Source organism: Homo sapiens, chromosome 7, assembly GCF_000001405.40.
Source record: "Homo sapiens chromosome 7, GRCh38.p14 Primary Assembly".
In the NCBI taxonomy this organism is placed as follows: Eukaryota; Metazoa; Chordata; class Mammalia; order Primates; family Hominidae; genus Homo; species Homo sapiens.
The window spans coordinates 36,374,245-36,389,360 of NC_000007.14; the positions used below are offsets into that span (position 1 = coordinate 36,374,245).

Below are 15,116 nucleotides of genomic sequence, written 5' to 3' on the forward strand. Positions count from 1 at the left end.
ACTTTTTTTTTTTTTTGTAGAGACAAGGTCTCACTATGTTGCCCAGGCTGGTTTTGAACTCTTGGACTCAAGTGATCCTCCTGCCTTGCCCTCCCAAAGTGCTGGGATTATAGGCATGATCTACTGCACCTGGCCCACTGGAGGATTTTAAATAGTGCAGTGACATGACATGATTTATGTTTTTAAAAGCTTGCCTTGGCATCGCTGAGGAGATTTAATAATATCTTGAACGTTTTTACGTTCTAAGAACAAGATTCAAAAACCCCTAAGACTTCTTTCTTTTTTTCTTTAATTATTATTTTTTAAAATTATATTTTAAGTTCTAGGGTGCATGTGCACAACATGCAGGTTTGTTACATAGGTATACATGTGCCATGTTGGTTTGCTGCACCCATTAACTCATCATTTACATTAGGTATTTCTCCTAATGCTATCCCTCCCCCTGCCCCCAACTCCACAACAGGCCCCGGTGTGTGACGTTCCCCACCTTGTGCCCACGTGTTCTCATTGTTCAATTCCCACCTATAAGTGAGAACATGCGGTGTTTGGTTTTCTGTCCTTGGGATAGTTTGCTCAGAATGATGGTTTCCAGCTTCATCCATGTCCCCACAAAGGACATGAACTCATCCGTTTTTATGGCTGCATAGTATTCCATGGTGTATATGTGCCACATTTTCTTAATCCAGTCTATCATTGATGGACATTTGGGGTTGGTTCCAAGCCTTTGCTATTGTGAATAGTGCTGCAATAAACATACGTGTGCATGTGTCTTTATAGCAGCATGATTTATAATCCTTTGGGTATATACCCAGTAATGGGATGGCTGGATCAAATCGTATTTCTAGTTCTAGATCCTTGAGGAATCGCCACACTGTCTTCCACAATGGTTGAACTAGTTTATACTCCCACCAACAGTGTAAAAGCGTTCCTATTTCTCCACATCCCCTCCAGCACCTGTTGTTTCCTGACTTTTTAATGATCGCCATTCTAACTGGTGTGAGATGCTATCTCATTGTGATTTTGATTTGCATTTCTCTGATGACCAGTGATGATGAGCATTTTTTCATGTGTCGAAGGCCTTTTCTGCATCTATTGAGATAATCATATGGTTTTTGTTGTTGGTTCTGTTTATGTGATGGATTACATTTATTGATTTGCGTATGTTGAACCAGCCTTGTATCCCAGGGATGAAGCCAACTTCATCTTGGTGGATAAGTTTTTTGATGTGCTGCTGGATTCGGTTTGCCAGTATTTTATTGAGGATTTTCGCATCAATGTCGTCAGGGATATTGGTCTAAAATTCTCTTTTTTTGTTGTGTCTCTGCCAGGCTTTGGTATCAGGATGATGCTGGCCTCAAAAAATGAGTTAGGGAGGATTCCCTCTTTTTCTATTGATTGGAATAGTTTCAGAAGGAATGGTACCAGCTCCTCTTTGTACCTCTGGTACAATTCGGCTGTGAATCTGTCTGGTGCTGGACTTTTTTTGGTTGGTAGGCTATTAATTATTGCCTTAATTTCAGAGCCAGTTATTGGTCTATTCAGGGATTCAACTTCTTCCTGGTTTAGTCTTGGGAGGGTGTGTGTGTCCAGGAATTTATCCATTTCTTCTAGATTTTCTAGTTTACTTGCGTAGAGATGTTTACAGTATTCTCTGATGGTAGTTTGTATTTCTGTGGGATCAGTGGTGATATCCCCTTTATCATTTTTTATTGCATCTATTTGATTATTCTCTCTTTTCTTCTTTATTAGTCTTGCTAGCGGTTTATCAATTTTGTTGATCTTTTCAAAAAACCAGCTCCTGGATTCATTGATTTTTTTGAAGGGTTTTTTGTGTCTCTATCTCCTTCAGTTCTGCTCTGATCCTTAGTTATTTCTTGCCTTCTGCTAGCTTTTGAATTTGTTTGCTCTTGCTTCTCTAGTTCTTTAAATTGTGAAGTTAGGGTGTCAATTTTAGATCTTTCCTGCTTTCTCTTGTGGGCATTTAGTGCTATAAATTTCCCTCTACACACTGCTTTAAATGTATCCCAGAGATTCTGGTATGTTGTGTCTTTGTTCTCACTGGTTTCAAAGAACATCTTTATTTCTGCCTTCATTTCATTATTTACCCAGTAGTCATTCAGGAGCAGGTTGTTCAGTTTCCATGTAGTTCTGTGGTTTTCAGTGAGTTTCTTAATCCTGAGTTCTAATTTGATTGCAGTGTGGTCTGAGAGACAGTTTGTTGTGATTTCCGTTCTTTTACATTTGCTGAGGATTGCTTTACTTCCAACTGTGTCGTCAATTTTGGAATAAGTGCAATGCGGTGCTGAGAAGAATGTATATTCTGCTGTTTTGGAGTGGAGAGTTCTGTAGATGTCTATTAGGTCTGCTTGGTGCAGAGTTGAGTTCAACTCCTGGATATCCTTGTTAACCTTCTGTCTCGTTGATCTGTCTAATATTGACAGTGGGGTGTTAAAGTCTCCCATTATTATTGTGTGGGAGTCTAAGTCTCTCTGTAGGTCTCGAAGGACTTGCTTTATGAATCTGGGTGCTCCTGTATTGGGTGCATATATATTTAGGATAGTTAGCTTTTCTTGTTGAATTGATCCTTTTACCATTATGTAATGGCCTTCTTTGTCTCTTTTGATCTTTGTTGGTTTAAAGTCTGTTTTATCAGAGACTAGGATTGCAACCCCTGCTTTTTTATTTTTTTTATTTTTTATTTTTGCCTTGGTAGATCTTCCTCCATCCTTTATTTTGAGCCTATGTTTGTCTCTGCATTTGAGATGGGTCTCCTGAATACAGCACACTGATGGGTCTTAACTCTTTATCCAATTTGCCAGTCTGTGTCTTTTAATTGGGGCATTTAGCCCATTTACATTTAAGGTTAATATTGTTATGTGTGAATTTGATCCTGTCATTATGATGTTAGCTGGTTATTTTGCCCATTAGTTGATGCAGTTTCTTCCTAGCATCAATGGTCTTTACAATTTGGCATGTTTTTGCAGTGGCTGGTACTGGTTGCTCCTTTCCACGTTTAGTGCTTCCTTCAGGAGCTCTTGTAAGGCAGGCCTGGTGGTGACAAAATTTCTCAGCATTTGTTTGTTTATAAAGGATTTTATTTCTCCTTCACTTATGAAGCTTAGTTTGGCTGGATATGAAATTCTGGGTTGAAAATTCTTTTCTTTAAGAATGTTGAATATTGGCCCCCACTCTCTTCTGGCTTGTAGAGTTTCTGCCAAGAGATCTGCTGTTATTCTGATGGGCTTCCCTTTGTGGGTAATCCGACCTTTCTCTCTGGCTGCCCTTAACATTTTTTCCTTCATTTCAACCTTGGTGAATCTGATGATTATGTGTCTCAGGGTTGCTCTTCTTGAGGAATATCTTTGTGGTGTTCTCTGTATTTCCTGAACTTGAATGTTGGCCTGCCTTGCTAGGTTGGGGAAGTTCTGCTGGATAATATCCTGGGGAGTGTTTTCCAGCTTGGTTCCATTCTCCGCATCACTTTCAGGTACACCAATCAAAAATAGATATGCTTTTTCCACATAGTCCCATATTTCTTGGAGGCTTTGTTCGTTTCTTTTTACTCTTTTTTCTCTAAACTTCTCTTCTCACTTCATTTCATTCATTTGATCTTCAATCACTGATATCCTTTCTTCCACTTGATCGAATCAGCTATTGAAGCTTCTGCATGCATCATGTAGTTCTCATGCCATGGTTTTGAGCTCCATCAGGTCATTTAAGTTCTTCTCTGCACTGTTTATTCTAGTTAGCCATTCGTCTAATGTTTTTTCAAGGTTTTTAGCTTCCTTGCAATGGGTTCGAACATCCTCCTTTAGCTTGGAGAAGTTCGTGATTACCGACCTTCTGAAGCCTACTTCTATCAACTCGTCAAAGTCATTCTCTGTCCAACTTTGTTCCGTTGCTGGCGAGGAGCTGTGATCCTTTAGAGAAGAGGTGCTCTGGTTTTTAAAATGTTCAGCTTTTCTGCTCTGGTTTCTCCCTATCTTTGTGGTTTTATCTACCTTTGGTCTTTGATTATGGTGACCTACAGATGGGGTTTTGGTGTGGATGTCCTTTCTGTTTGTTAGTTTTCCTTCTAACAGTCAGGCCCCTCAGCTGCAGGTCTGTTGGAGTTTGCTGGAGGTCCACTGCAGACCCTGTTTGCCTGGGTATCACCAGCTGAGGCTGCAGAACAGCAAATATTGCAGAACAGCAAATATTGCTGCCTGATCCTTCCTCTGGAAGCTTTGTCTCAGAGGGGCACCCAGCTGTATGAGGTGTCAGTTGACCCCTACTGGGAGATGTCTCCTAGTTAGGCTACATGGGGTTCAGGGACCCACTTGAGGGGGCAGTCTGTCTGTTCTCAGAGCTTAAACACCATGCTGGGAGAACCACTGCTCTCTTCAGAGCTGTCAGACAGGGATGTTTAAGTCTGCAGAAGTTTCTGCTGCCTTTTGTTCGGCTCTGCCCTGCCCCCAGAGTTGGAGTCTACAGAGGCAGACAGGCCTCCTTGAGCTGTGGTGGGCTCCACCCAGTTCGAGCTTCCTGGCTGCTTTGTTTACCTACTCAAGACTCAGCAACGGCAGACGCCCCTTCCCCAGCCAGGCTGCTGCCTCACAGTTCGATCTCGGACTGCTGTGCTAGCAGTGAGCAAGGCTCCATGGGCATGGGACCTGCTGAGCCAGGCATGGGATATAATCTCCTGGTGTGCATTTGCTAAGACCGTTGGAAAAGCTCAGTAGTTGGGTGGCAGTGTCCCAATTTTCCTGGTACATACTGTCACAGCTGCCCTTGGCTAGGAAAGGGAAATCCCCTGACCCCTTGCACTTCCTGGGTGAGGTGATGCCCTGCCCTGCTTCGGCTTGCCCTCCATGGGCTGCACCCACTGTCCAACCAGTACCAATGAGATGAACCAGGTACCTCAGTTGGAAATGCAGAAATCACCCATCTTCTGTGTCAATCATGCTGGGAGCTGCAGACCGGAGCTGTTCCTATTTGGCCATCTTGGAATGAACCCCACTACCTGGATGGAATTTTTAAGTCAGTGGGGCTGATGAGATCACCTGGGGAGTGTACGAAGGCAGACAAGAGCATTCTGGGAAGAATTTAGAGTTCTCAGTCATTTGGTTGTGGGGCAGAGGAATAAGAACCCACAAGGTTTTATCTTTCTTTCTATCTATCTACGTGTACATAGAGAGTAACATATATGACTATGTAACTATAACCATGCATGTGTGTGTCTGTGTGTGTATGTGTATATATACATAAAGATACCTATATACATACATGACTTTTTTTCTGAACTGTTTTAAGAGTAGCTTGTAGACATGATATCCTTTTCTCCCTAAACAGTTCAGAGTATGTATGTATATATGTAAATATATATATGTGAATATGTACAGTCGTGTGTTACTTACTGATGGGGATATGTTCTGAAAAAAATGTGTCACTAGGTGATTTTGTCATTGTGGGAACATCATGGAATGTACTTACATAAACCTAGATGGTGTAGACTATTGCTGCTAGTCTACAAACCTGTATAGTGTGTTACTATACGAATACTGGAGGTAATTGTAACACAATGGTAAGTACACACACACACACACACACACACACACACACACAGAGAGAGAGAGAGAGAGAGAGAGAGAGAATATAAAGCCAATATAGTAAAATGTTACTATATTGGGAATCTGAATGATGCCTGGAATCCAGGAATCTTTGTTCCACTTTTGCTCTCTCTCTCTATGTGTCTACATGTAAACCTTTCACAACTTTTCTGTAAGTCTGAAATAATGGCAAAATAAAGTGGTGCAAATTGAGTACTGAGGTGGATGATGACCTCACTTTGGACTAGGCAAGAAATCTTGTAAGATATAATATTCAGCTGGATTTGTATTTAGAAATTCAAAGGTGATGAGCAGGGCATTTTGGTAGTGGGAGTAGGATGAGCATGCCATAGAGGTGGCAAATAGCAGGGTTTATTCAGGAATGAACAGCAGGTGATTGGGTTCTCATCTCTGAGTGCTTTCCTTGGCACTGAACACTAAGCAAAGTGGGTGGTAAGGTCATTTGCAGAGAGTAAACGGGTGGGATGGGAAATGTGATCGAGACTGTGATAGGGATTCAAATGGATTCTGATTCAAATTATTCAAATGGATTCTGAGCAACATTAATGGTCCAGTGGAATAAATTTGAAATGGAATTGGCTCAATTTCTTGTCTTTTTCTGGCAATGTTGAGCAAGCCAGGAAAACAGAACAGTTAGAGATTAGCAAGTTAAGTGCAGCAAGAAGGACAAGAGACCAAGGAGAATGGTATTAAAATAGTTTCTCTTGAGTCTGGCTGGGAAGGAGCAAGTGAGGCTTAAAGGAGGATGGGCAGTGTTTGGGAAGAGACCCAAGAAAGGACGATGGCAGGATCTGGAAATCTTAGACTATTCACAGTCTTGTTTCCTCATCTACTATTTTAAGAAGCTGGATTAGGTGATCTATAAATTCTCTGACTGCTCTAAGGTTTTGTTTTGAGACAAAGTCTCGCTCTGTAGCCCAGGCTGGAGTGCAGTGGCACGGTCTCGGCTCACTGCAACCTCCACCTCCCAGGTTCAAGCGAGTCTCCTGCCTTAGCCTCCCAAGTAGCTGGGATTACAGGTATGCTTCACTGCACCCAGCTAATTTTTTGTATTTTTAGTAGAGATGGGGTTTCACCATGTTGGCCAGGCTGGTGGTTTGGTTTTGTTTTAAACTCCCTTTTTTCTTGGCCTCCTTTTCAAAATAGATTGAGCTACGTATGAGGCATGTGGCCTCTTAGAAAAGGGTATGGTAGGAGGTCAAGGTTAACACCTGGGTATAGCTATAAAGCTCAAGCTATAATATTTTCAGTTAGGGCCCAAAGCTGAAAAAGGAGAATGAACTGAAGGTTAGGACTGGAAGGGAGAAGGGAGGGGACTTGCAGGTTTAGGAGGAGTGAGCAGCAGTGAAGAAGAGATAAGGAGGCAAGATTAGAATCAGGAGACCAGGTTTGGGGTTTGAAATCTTGGAGTTGGAGCATTTCCAAGTGTTGATTGGAGTCCATGTGTGGTCATACATGTGGGTGGATGAAAAGGGAGGAGAAGGTCAGTACAGTTGGAAGGTTTGAGGAATGTTAAGGTCAGAGTATAGGAAGGAGGCCAGGTGCGGTGGCTCATGCCTGTAATCCCATCACTTTGGGAAGCCGAGGCAGGTGGATCACCTGAGGTCAGGAGTTTGAGACCAGCCTGGCCAACATGGTGAAACCCTGTCTTTACTAAAATACAAAAAATTAGTCAGGTATGGTGGTGGGCACCTGTAATCCCAGCTACTTGGGAGGCTGAGGCAGGAGAATTGCTTGAATCTGGGAGGCGGAGGTTGCAGTGAGCTAAGATGGTAACACTGCACTCCAGTCTAGGTGACAGAGTGAGACTCCATCTCAAAAAAAAAAAAAAAAAATGAAGGAGATTGTGGTCCCGGAGAATACACCAGCAAACAGCAAACATTTCTTGAGGGCCTATTAAGTGCCAGGCATGAATGGGACTGAGGAAAACTGGGATGGTGTCAGACTCTGAGAAGCAGGAAAGAGGAGAGTGAAAGTGTATGTCCTGAACCCCAGCATTTGGAAGGATTAATGAAAGAATAAATGAACCCTGGGTCTGGAAATAGCATGTGAGGAGAAATTTTTGAAGTGTTTAGAAGATCACTAAATTCATGACAGACATCAATGGAGTGCAATAAATCTGTTACATTCTCTTGTATCAAATTTAAGAAGATTTGTGGCTGGGCGCTTTGGCTTATGCCTGTAATCTCAGCATTTTGGAAGGCCGAGGTGGGCAGATCACCTGAGGTCAGGAGTTCAAGACCAGCCTGGCCAACATGGTGAAAACCTGTCTCCACTAAAAAAAAAACAATAATAATACAAAAATTAGCCGGGCATGGTGGTGGGTGCCTGTGATCCCAGCTACTCGGGAGGCTGAGGCAGGAGAATCACTTGAACCTGGAAGGCGGAGGTTGCAGTGAGCAGAGTTGTGCAACTGCACTCCAGCCTGAGTGACAGCGTCTGTCTCAAAAAAAAAAAAAAAAAAAAAAAAAGAAGATTTGCAAAATGTCTGTTTGCATGGGAGGAAAATTTAAGATGTTATATTTGATGTTCAATAAATTGACTCTGATATTTAGGAAACACTGGCTTCTGTTACTTCTGTAATATTTAAGAGTGACTTCTATGATATCACTAAAAAATTAAGTTTTGTAAAAATAGCTTTTTTTTTTTTTTGTTTTGAGATGGAGTCTCGCCTTGTTGTCCAGGCAGGAGTGCAGTGGCGTGATCTCGGCTCACTGCAAGCTCCGCCTCCCGGGTTCACACCATTCTCCTGCCTCAGCCTTCCAAGTAGCTGGGACTACAGGTGCCTGCCACCAGGCCCGGCTAATTTTTTTGTACTTTTAGTAGAGACAGGGTTTCACCGTGTTAGCCAGGATGGTCTCGATCTCCTGACCTCGTGATCCACCCGCCTTGGCCTCCCTAAGTGCTGGGATTACAGGCGTGAGCCACCACGCCCAGCCAAAAATAGCTTTAAGAAATCTAGGTATGGAAAAGAAAAGTTACCAATATAAAAAGTATAGTGTGATAAGTACATAAAATAATTCTTACTCTTTATGAAAGGATTTACTGTGGTCCTTTAAATATGAATTATCTTAATATCCTTATTAACCACGTGAGAAAATAAAAAGGAGATTAAAGTTGTATGCATTTTGAGATTAGTCTATTGAATAAAGGACTTATGCCTGTAGTTGCACTGGTTTTTGGAAACAATATAATATGTTCAGAAAGCACAATATGTTCATGCTCACTCTGGAATCTGAAACATCTTCATCAATTAAACTAGAAAAAAAATCTATGTGACACTAAGAATCATTAATAGTAAAGATTAATACCATTAATCATTAATAGTAGAGAGTAGTAACAAGTAAAATAGCCCTTTTCAATAACATATAGATAACATCCTTTGATGGTTGTTGTTTCTTCATTATAATAAATGTGTAGAACTAGAAATACCATTTGACCCAGCAATACCATTACTGGGTATATATCCAAAGGATTATAAATCATTCTACTATAAAGACACATGCACACATATGTTTACTGCGGCACTGTTCACAATAGCAAAGACTTGGAACCAACCCAAATGCCCATCAATGATAGACTAGATAAAGAAAATGTGGCACATATGCAGCATGGAATACTATGCAGCCATAAAAAAGGATGAGTTCGTGTCCTTTGCAGGGACATGGATGAAGCTGGAAACCATCATTCTCAGCAAACTAACACAGGAACAGAAAACCAAACACCGCATGTTCTCACTCATAAGTGGGAGTTGAACAATGAGAATGCATGGACACAGGGAGGGGAACATCACACACCAGGGTCTGTAGGGGGGTGGAGAGTTAGGGGAGGGATAGCATTAGGAGAAATACCTAATATAGATGACAGGTTGATGGGTTCAGCAAACCACCATGGCACGTGTATGCCTATGTAACAAACCTGCACGTTCTGCACATGTACTCCAGAACTTAAAGTATAATAATAATTTTAAAAAGTGTAAAAGAAGTGGCCCTTCAGCCAAATAACCTGAGGTAGAGAACTTGAGTTTAGCTCTTCTTGCCACTGCCTTATGATTAGGTCTTGGCCTTTTCTCTCCCTGTAAAAATAAAAAGATTTGTGTTATTGTATTACTTTGTGAATTAAGTATAAATAGTCTAAAAATTTTAAAATTAAATATAAATAGTATTTTAAAAAGTATAAAAATAGTATAAAATATAAAATACAAATGTGTGTGACTGTATTTTGAAAAATTAACTGTAAATATACAGCATTTGGAGGGTCTTTGTTGCAGTCCCTGCTTTCAAATTTTTGTGTTTTTCAGCCTTTTTATCAGCAATTTTATCTGCAAAAGACATAATTATTATTTCCTTTGTTTAAAAGAACAGGTCTTGGAGCAAATACTCATTTTCCAGGGCTATCTTTAATCTCTAGTTATTTCTACTTCAGACTCTTGGTTCTATTCTTAAATTAATGTATTATGTTGTGGGTTTTATTTAAATAACTTGGGAAGTTTTGTGTTTTATATAAATAAGTAGGGAAGACACTTTTGATGATTTAGGCCAATCCCTTAGCCTCTATGCATCTCAGTTTTCCCATCTCTAAAATAGGAATAAGAGTTATGCTTATATTCATTTATTTAACAAGTATCTACTGCACTCATGTGCCAGAAGGTGCTGGGTTACAGCTATAAACAAGTCCCTGCACTGCCACAGCTTACACTGTAGTAGGAAGGCCTAGCTAATAAACATAAACACATAACTAAAATAATGTCAGATAGTGGCAAATGTGATGAAGAAGTCAGAGTAATAGAATGGAAAGTGATTGGTGGGCAGAGAAGACGGGGGTGGCCACCTGATCAAAGAAGTCTTCTTTCAGGAGGTAGCACATGCAAGCTTAGGCCCAAATAACGAGGAGCAGACGTGCTAAATCTAGAGGAAGAGTGTCCAGGCAGTGGAAAGTCCTTGAGGCAGGAAGAAATTTGGCATTTTTTTATGACCAGAAAAAAGGCCTGAAGCTGGAGCATAGTGAAAAGAAAAAAAAAAAAAGGAAAGTATTGTGATGTTAGGAGAATACTAGGTTATTCGGAGAGGCAGGTAGATTCCAGATCATGCATGGCCTTGTAGGTATGATAAGGATATTATTGGATATCATTTTAATTACAACGAAAGACATAGAGCAGCTCCAAACAAGGAATTGACACTGCAAAATTTACATTTGAAAAAGATCCCTCTCTATAAATAAATTACTAAAACTAAAAAGATCAGCAACAACAAAGATACGTAGGAATAAATTTAACAAAAGTTTACAGATCTTTATGTAAGTTTGTTATAGACATTTTTAGCAGGTATAATGAAGATATACCATGCTCATAAATGGGTAGCATTGCTGTCACAAAGATGCGAATTCTCTCCAAATTATGTGATAAATTCAGTGCAATTTGAATTAAAAATCAGAAGAGGATTTTCTTTTCTTTTCTTTTTGGATCTTGAGAATCTGACCCTAAAATTCATGTGGAAGAACAATGAGGCAAAATAATCCAAGTTGAATTGGAATTTGCCCTACCAGATATCAACATTTATAACTAATATAGTGTGATATTGGGAGAGGAATAGATAGACCAGTAGAACAGAATAGAGTCCGACATAGACCTATGTGTACATAAAAAGTTGAGGCTGAACATAGTGGCTTACACCTGTAATTCCAGCACTTTGGAAGGCCAAGGTGGGAGGATCATTTGAGGCCAGGAGTTGGAGACCAGCCTGGGCAACAAAGTGAGATCCTGTCTCTACAAAAAATTTTAAAAAGTAGCGGGTTGTGGTGGCATGCACCTGTTGTCCCAGATACTTGGAAGGCTGAGATGGGAAGATTGCTTGAGGCCAGGAATTTGAAGCTGCAGTGAGCTGTGATCGTGCCACTGCACTCCAGCCTGGGTGACAGAGCAAGACCCTATTTCAAAAAATAAAATAAAATAAAATAAAATAAAATAAAATAAAATAAAATAAAATAAAATAAAATAAAATAAGATAAAGAAAGAACTGTTGGGTAGGCGCAGTGGCTCATGCCTATAATCCCAGCACTTTGGGAGGTCTAGTTGGGTGGATCACTTGTGGCCAGGAATTCGAGACTAGCCTGGCCAACATGGGGAAACCCCAACTCTACTAAAAACACAAAAATTAGCCAGATTTGGTGGCATATGCCTGTTGTCCCAGCTACTTGGGAGGCTGAGGCAGGAGAATCGCTTGAACCCGGGAGGCAGAGGTTGTAGTCAGCCGAGATCAGGCCACTGCACTCCAGCCTTGGCGAAAGAGCGAGACCCTGTCTCGGGAAAAAAAAAAAGAAAAGTTGATATATGATAAAAGTGGCATTACAGGTCAATGAGAGAAAGGATGGACAATTTAATAACTGCTGCTAAGACAACTGGTTATCCATACAAAAAACAAGATCAATCCAGATAGTTTAAAGACAAAAGCATGAAAAGCCATACTTTAAAATATTTAGAAGAAAGTACAGCAGAACATCTTTATTATCTCAGGGTATGGAAGGATTTCTTAAGGCATAAAAAACACAAATCCTAAAGGAAAATATATATGGTATATGTGTATGTGTATGTGTGTATGTGTGTGTGTGTGTGTGTGTGTGTATCATTAGTTATATTAAACATTTCTGTACATCTGAAACATCATAAAGTAAAAAGACAAGCCACAAACCAAAAAATTGGCAAGCCGAAAAACCAACCAAGTTTATTTTCCCAGAAAATAGTAAACAACCAACAAAAACCCTATAAATCCATAAGAAAAAGGCAAATAATTGCACAGAAAAATGGGCAAGGATATAAAGTTGAAAATCACAGAAAAAGAAAATTGAAAGTCCAATAAATAAAAAATCATGTTCACCTTCACTAGTGATAAGAGAAAGGCACTCAAACAAGAATGGCAAAATTTAAAATGTATCCACATATTGGGGAGGAACTAGAGCAGCAGCCAGGGGCATATACTACTGACTGGAGTATCATTTGTTATGACCATTTTGAAGAGCAGTTTATTTTTAATATCTGGTAATAATATTCCTAGGTATATTGCTCTAGAGAAAGTTTTGCATGTGCATATAAAGGATAGTCATGGCATCATGGGGTCTTTGGAATGAAAAACTGGAAATAAGCTAAATGTCCATTAACAGGATAATGGGTACATAAATTACAAGTATATTTGTATAATAAAATTTAGCAGTGAACATGAATGAAATGCAGCTACAGTTATTAGTGAGGATAAATCCCATAAAGATATTATTGGGCCAGAAAAAGTTGCAGAAAGACTTACATTCTGCAAATAAAATTTATATATAAAACACTAGATATTGTTATGGATATATATGTAGATGTGATAAAAGTATACATATTTCTATGGGAATGATAAACATCAAATCAAGATAGTTTTACCCTGGAAGAGTGGGAAGATGAATGAGAATAGGAAGGGACACACAGGAGACTTCAATTACATGTGGGATGTTTTGTATTTTTTTAAGCTAGGTGGCTGGTATATGGTTATGTTTTATTATTCACATTTTTATTGTATTTCATAACATAATTTTTTTGTTTTCAAATTTTTTTATTTGTTATATAACACAATTTTTAAAAAGATAAAAGTCATTCTAGCCTAGAAACTGAAGAATGAACTACCGGGGGTTAAGAATGAAAGGAGGTATAGTAGGAGACAATTGTAATACCCTAGGAGAGTAGACTTGAATATCTACCGTAGTTTCTGGCACATAGTAGGTGTTTCAGTCTTAGGAGTTATTTAATTGTGATGGTTGCCATTATCACTATCATCATCATTATCAAGGTAGAAACCAAAGACATAGTGGGATGGTGAGGGAAGATACACTAAATGTTGTGAGTAGCTATCTTATGCTAGGTGCTTTACCTCTTTTAGTCTTAACTAGAATCTAGTTGAGGTAGATACAAAGAAACTAAGGCTCATAGAAGTGATAGCCAGAAGGCACAACGGCTACATAAATTTCTAATGACTCATTTTCCAACGTTGTTTAAAACACGCATACACACACAGACACGCCCCAAATACATACACACCTTTCTTGTCACACTTGAAAAAAATGGAAGTATCTTTTTCCTTTGTTCATAAGTAACACATTCTGGGTTAAATATTAATAATTCCATATACTACACACTCGGACAGTGTCTTATTACTTATTATGAAATATTTTTGGATTATGTCTCTCCATTTTTCATCTGCCCCTCCTAACAACTCTGAGGAAATCAGGGCAGATGATTATTCCTGTTACACAGATAAGTAAACTAAAATACAAACAGGCTAAATCAGAAGTTCTTGTCCTGGTGTCCATGAACTTCACAAAATCCTGTTAAATAGTTTATGATTAAATGGTCATTTTTCTAGGTAGAGGGTCAGTTTTAACATATTTCCAAAGGAGTCCATGACTCCCCACAAAGGTTAAAAAAAAAAAAAACCCATGGGTTAACCGATTTGGCTAACTGGGTGGAGCCCTGACCCCAAGCAATATTTCCCTTACCTCTTGCCGTGATTTCAGTCACGTACAATTTATCATACAAAAATTCAAATTAAAAATATTAGTAAATTCTTTTTGTAATGTTGATTGACTGCTAAGATGGACATATTATTAAACATATTGAAACCACTCAGTTGGGAGGAATAGTTCTGTTTTGTTCAGCTCATGGACAGTCACTCTTAACTTTTCAGATGAACAAATCAAGAACTGTCATCTTTACCTGCACAGACTTGTTATAGAAGAAATGAATCTGATACAGAAATTATGTAACCTATCTTACAATTTGGAGTACTCTACAAAGAATAAGCAGGAGACACAGCCTTAGCTAGTGTGGAAAACGGGTCATGAGCTGAGAACAGGGTTTTCATTTCTTTGGACCAGTTTCTTTAACGTTTTCGGGTGTCCCTTCTCTCGGCAGTAAAAGGAAGGATTGAACTAGATAGAGGGCTTGTCAGAATTCCTCCCGCTCTAACACTGTACACAGTTGGATGGAATTTAAAATAAAAAATTGTGCATGAACGCTTCACACAGTCTGTTAATTTTAGCTTTATTTCATTGGCTTAGAGTGTCGGGGACCCACCGGAACTGGCTTTTCTGAGGGCCAGGCCTGCAGTCCCCCTTTTGGGGACTAGGAGTTGGGTGTGACCTAGGAAACAAAGCTACTGAAGGCCAACGGGCTAGCAGCACCTGAAACACAAGGGCTCTTTGTCTGGCTCTGTAGCCCAGGCTGGAATGCAGTGGTGTGATCTCTGCTCACTGCAACCTCCACCTCCCGGGTCCCAGTTCAAGCAATTCTCCTGCCTCAGCCTCCCGAGTAGCTGGGATTAGAGGCACGCGCCACCATGCCTATCTAATTTTTTTGTATTTTTAGTAGAGACGGGGTTTCACCATGTTGGCAAGGCTGGTCTTGAACTCCTGACCTCGTGATCTGCCCGCCTCGGCCTCCCACAGTGCTGGGATTATGTCCTGCCAACACAAGGGCTCTTA

General features: G+C 39.9%; 1 protein-coding gene across 2 annotated transcripts in view; it reads right to left on the reverse strand.

Annotated features, from left to right (window-relative positions):
* Window positions 1-15,116, reverse strand: part of MATCAP2 (microtubule associated tyrosine carboxypeptidase 2) — a 66,206-nt gene that overhangs the window by 50,093 nt on the left and 997 nt on the right. For both annotated transcript variants that reach the window (NM_001100425.2, XM_024446701.2), the window contains one exon: window positions 9,615-9,684. In NM_001100425.2, coding sequence (NP_001093895.1) covers window positions 9,615-9,684 — 70 coding nt within the window. Of the gene's footprint in view, window positions 1-9,614; window positions 9,685-15,116 lie in introns of those variants that run through there.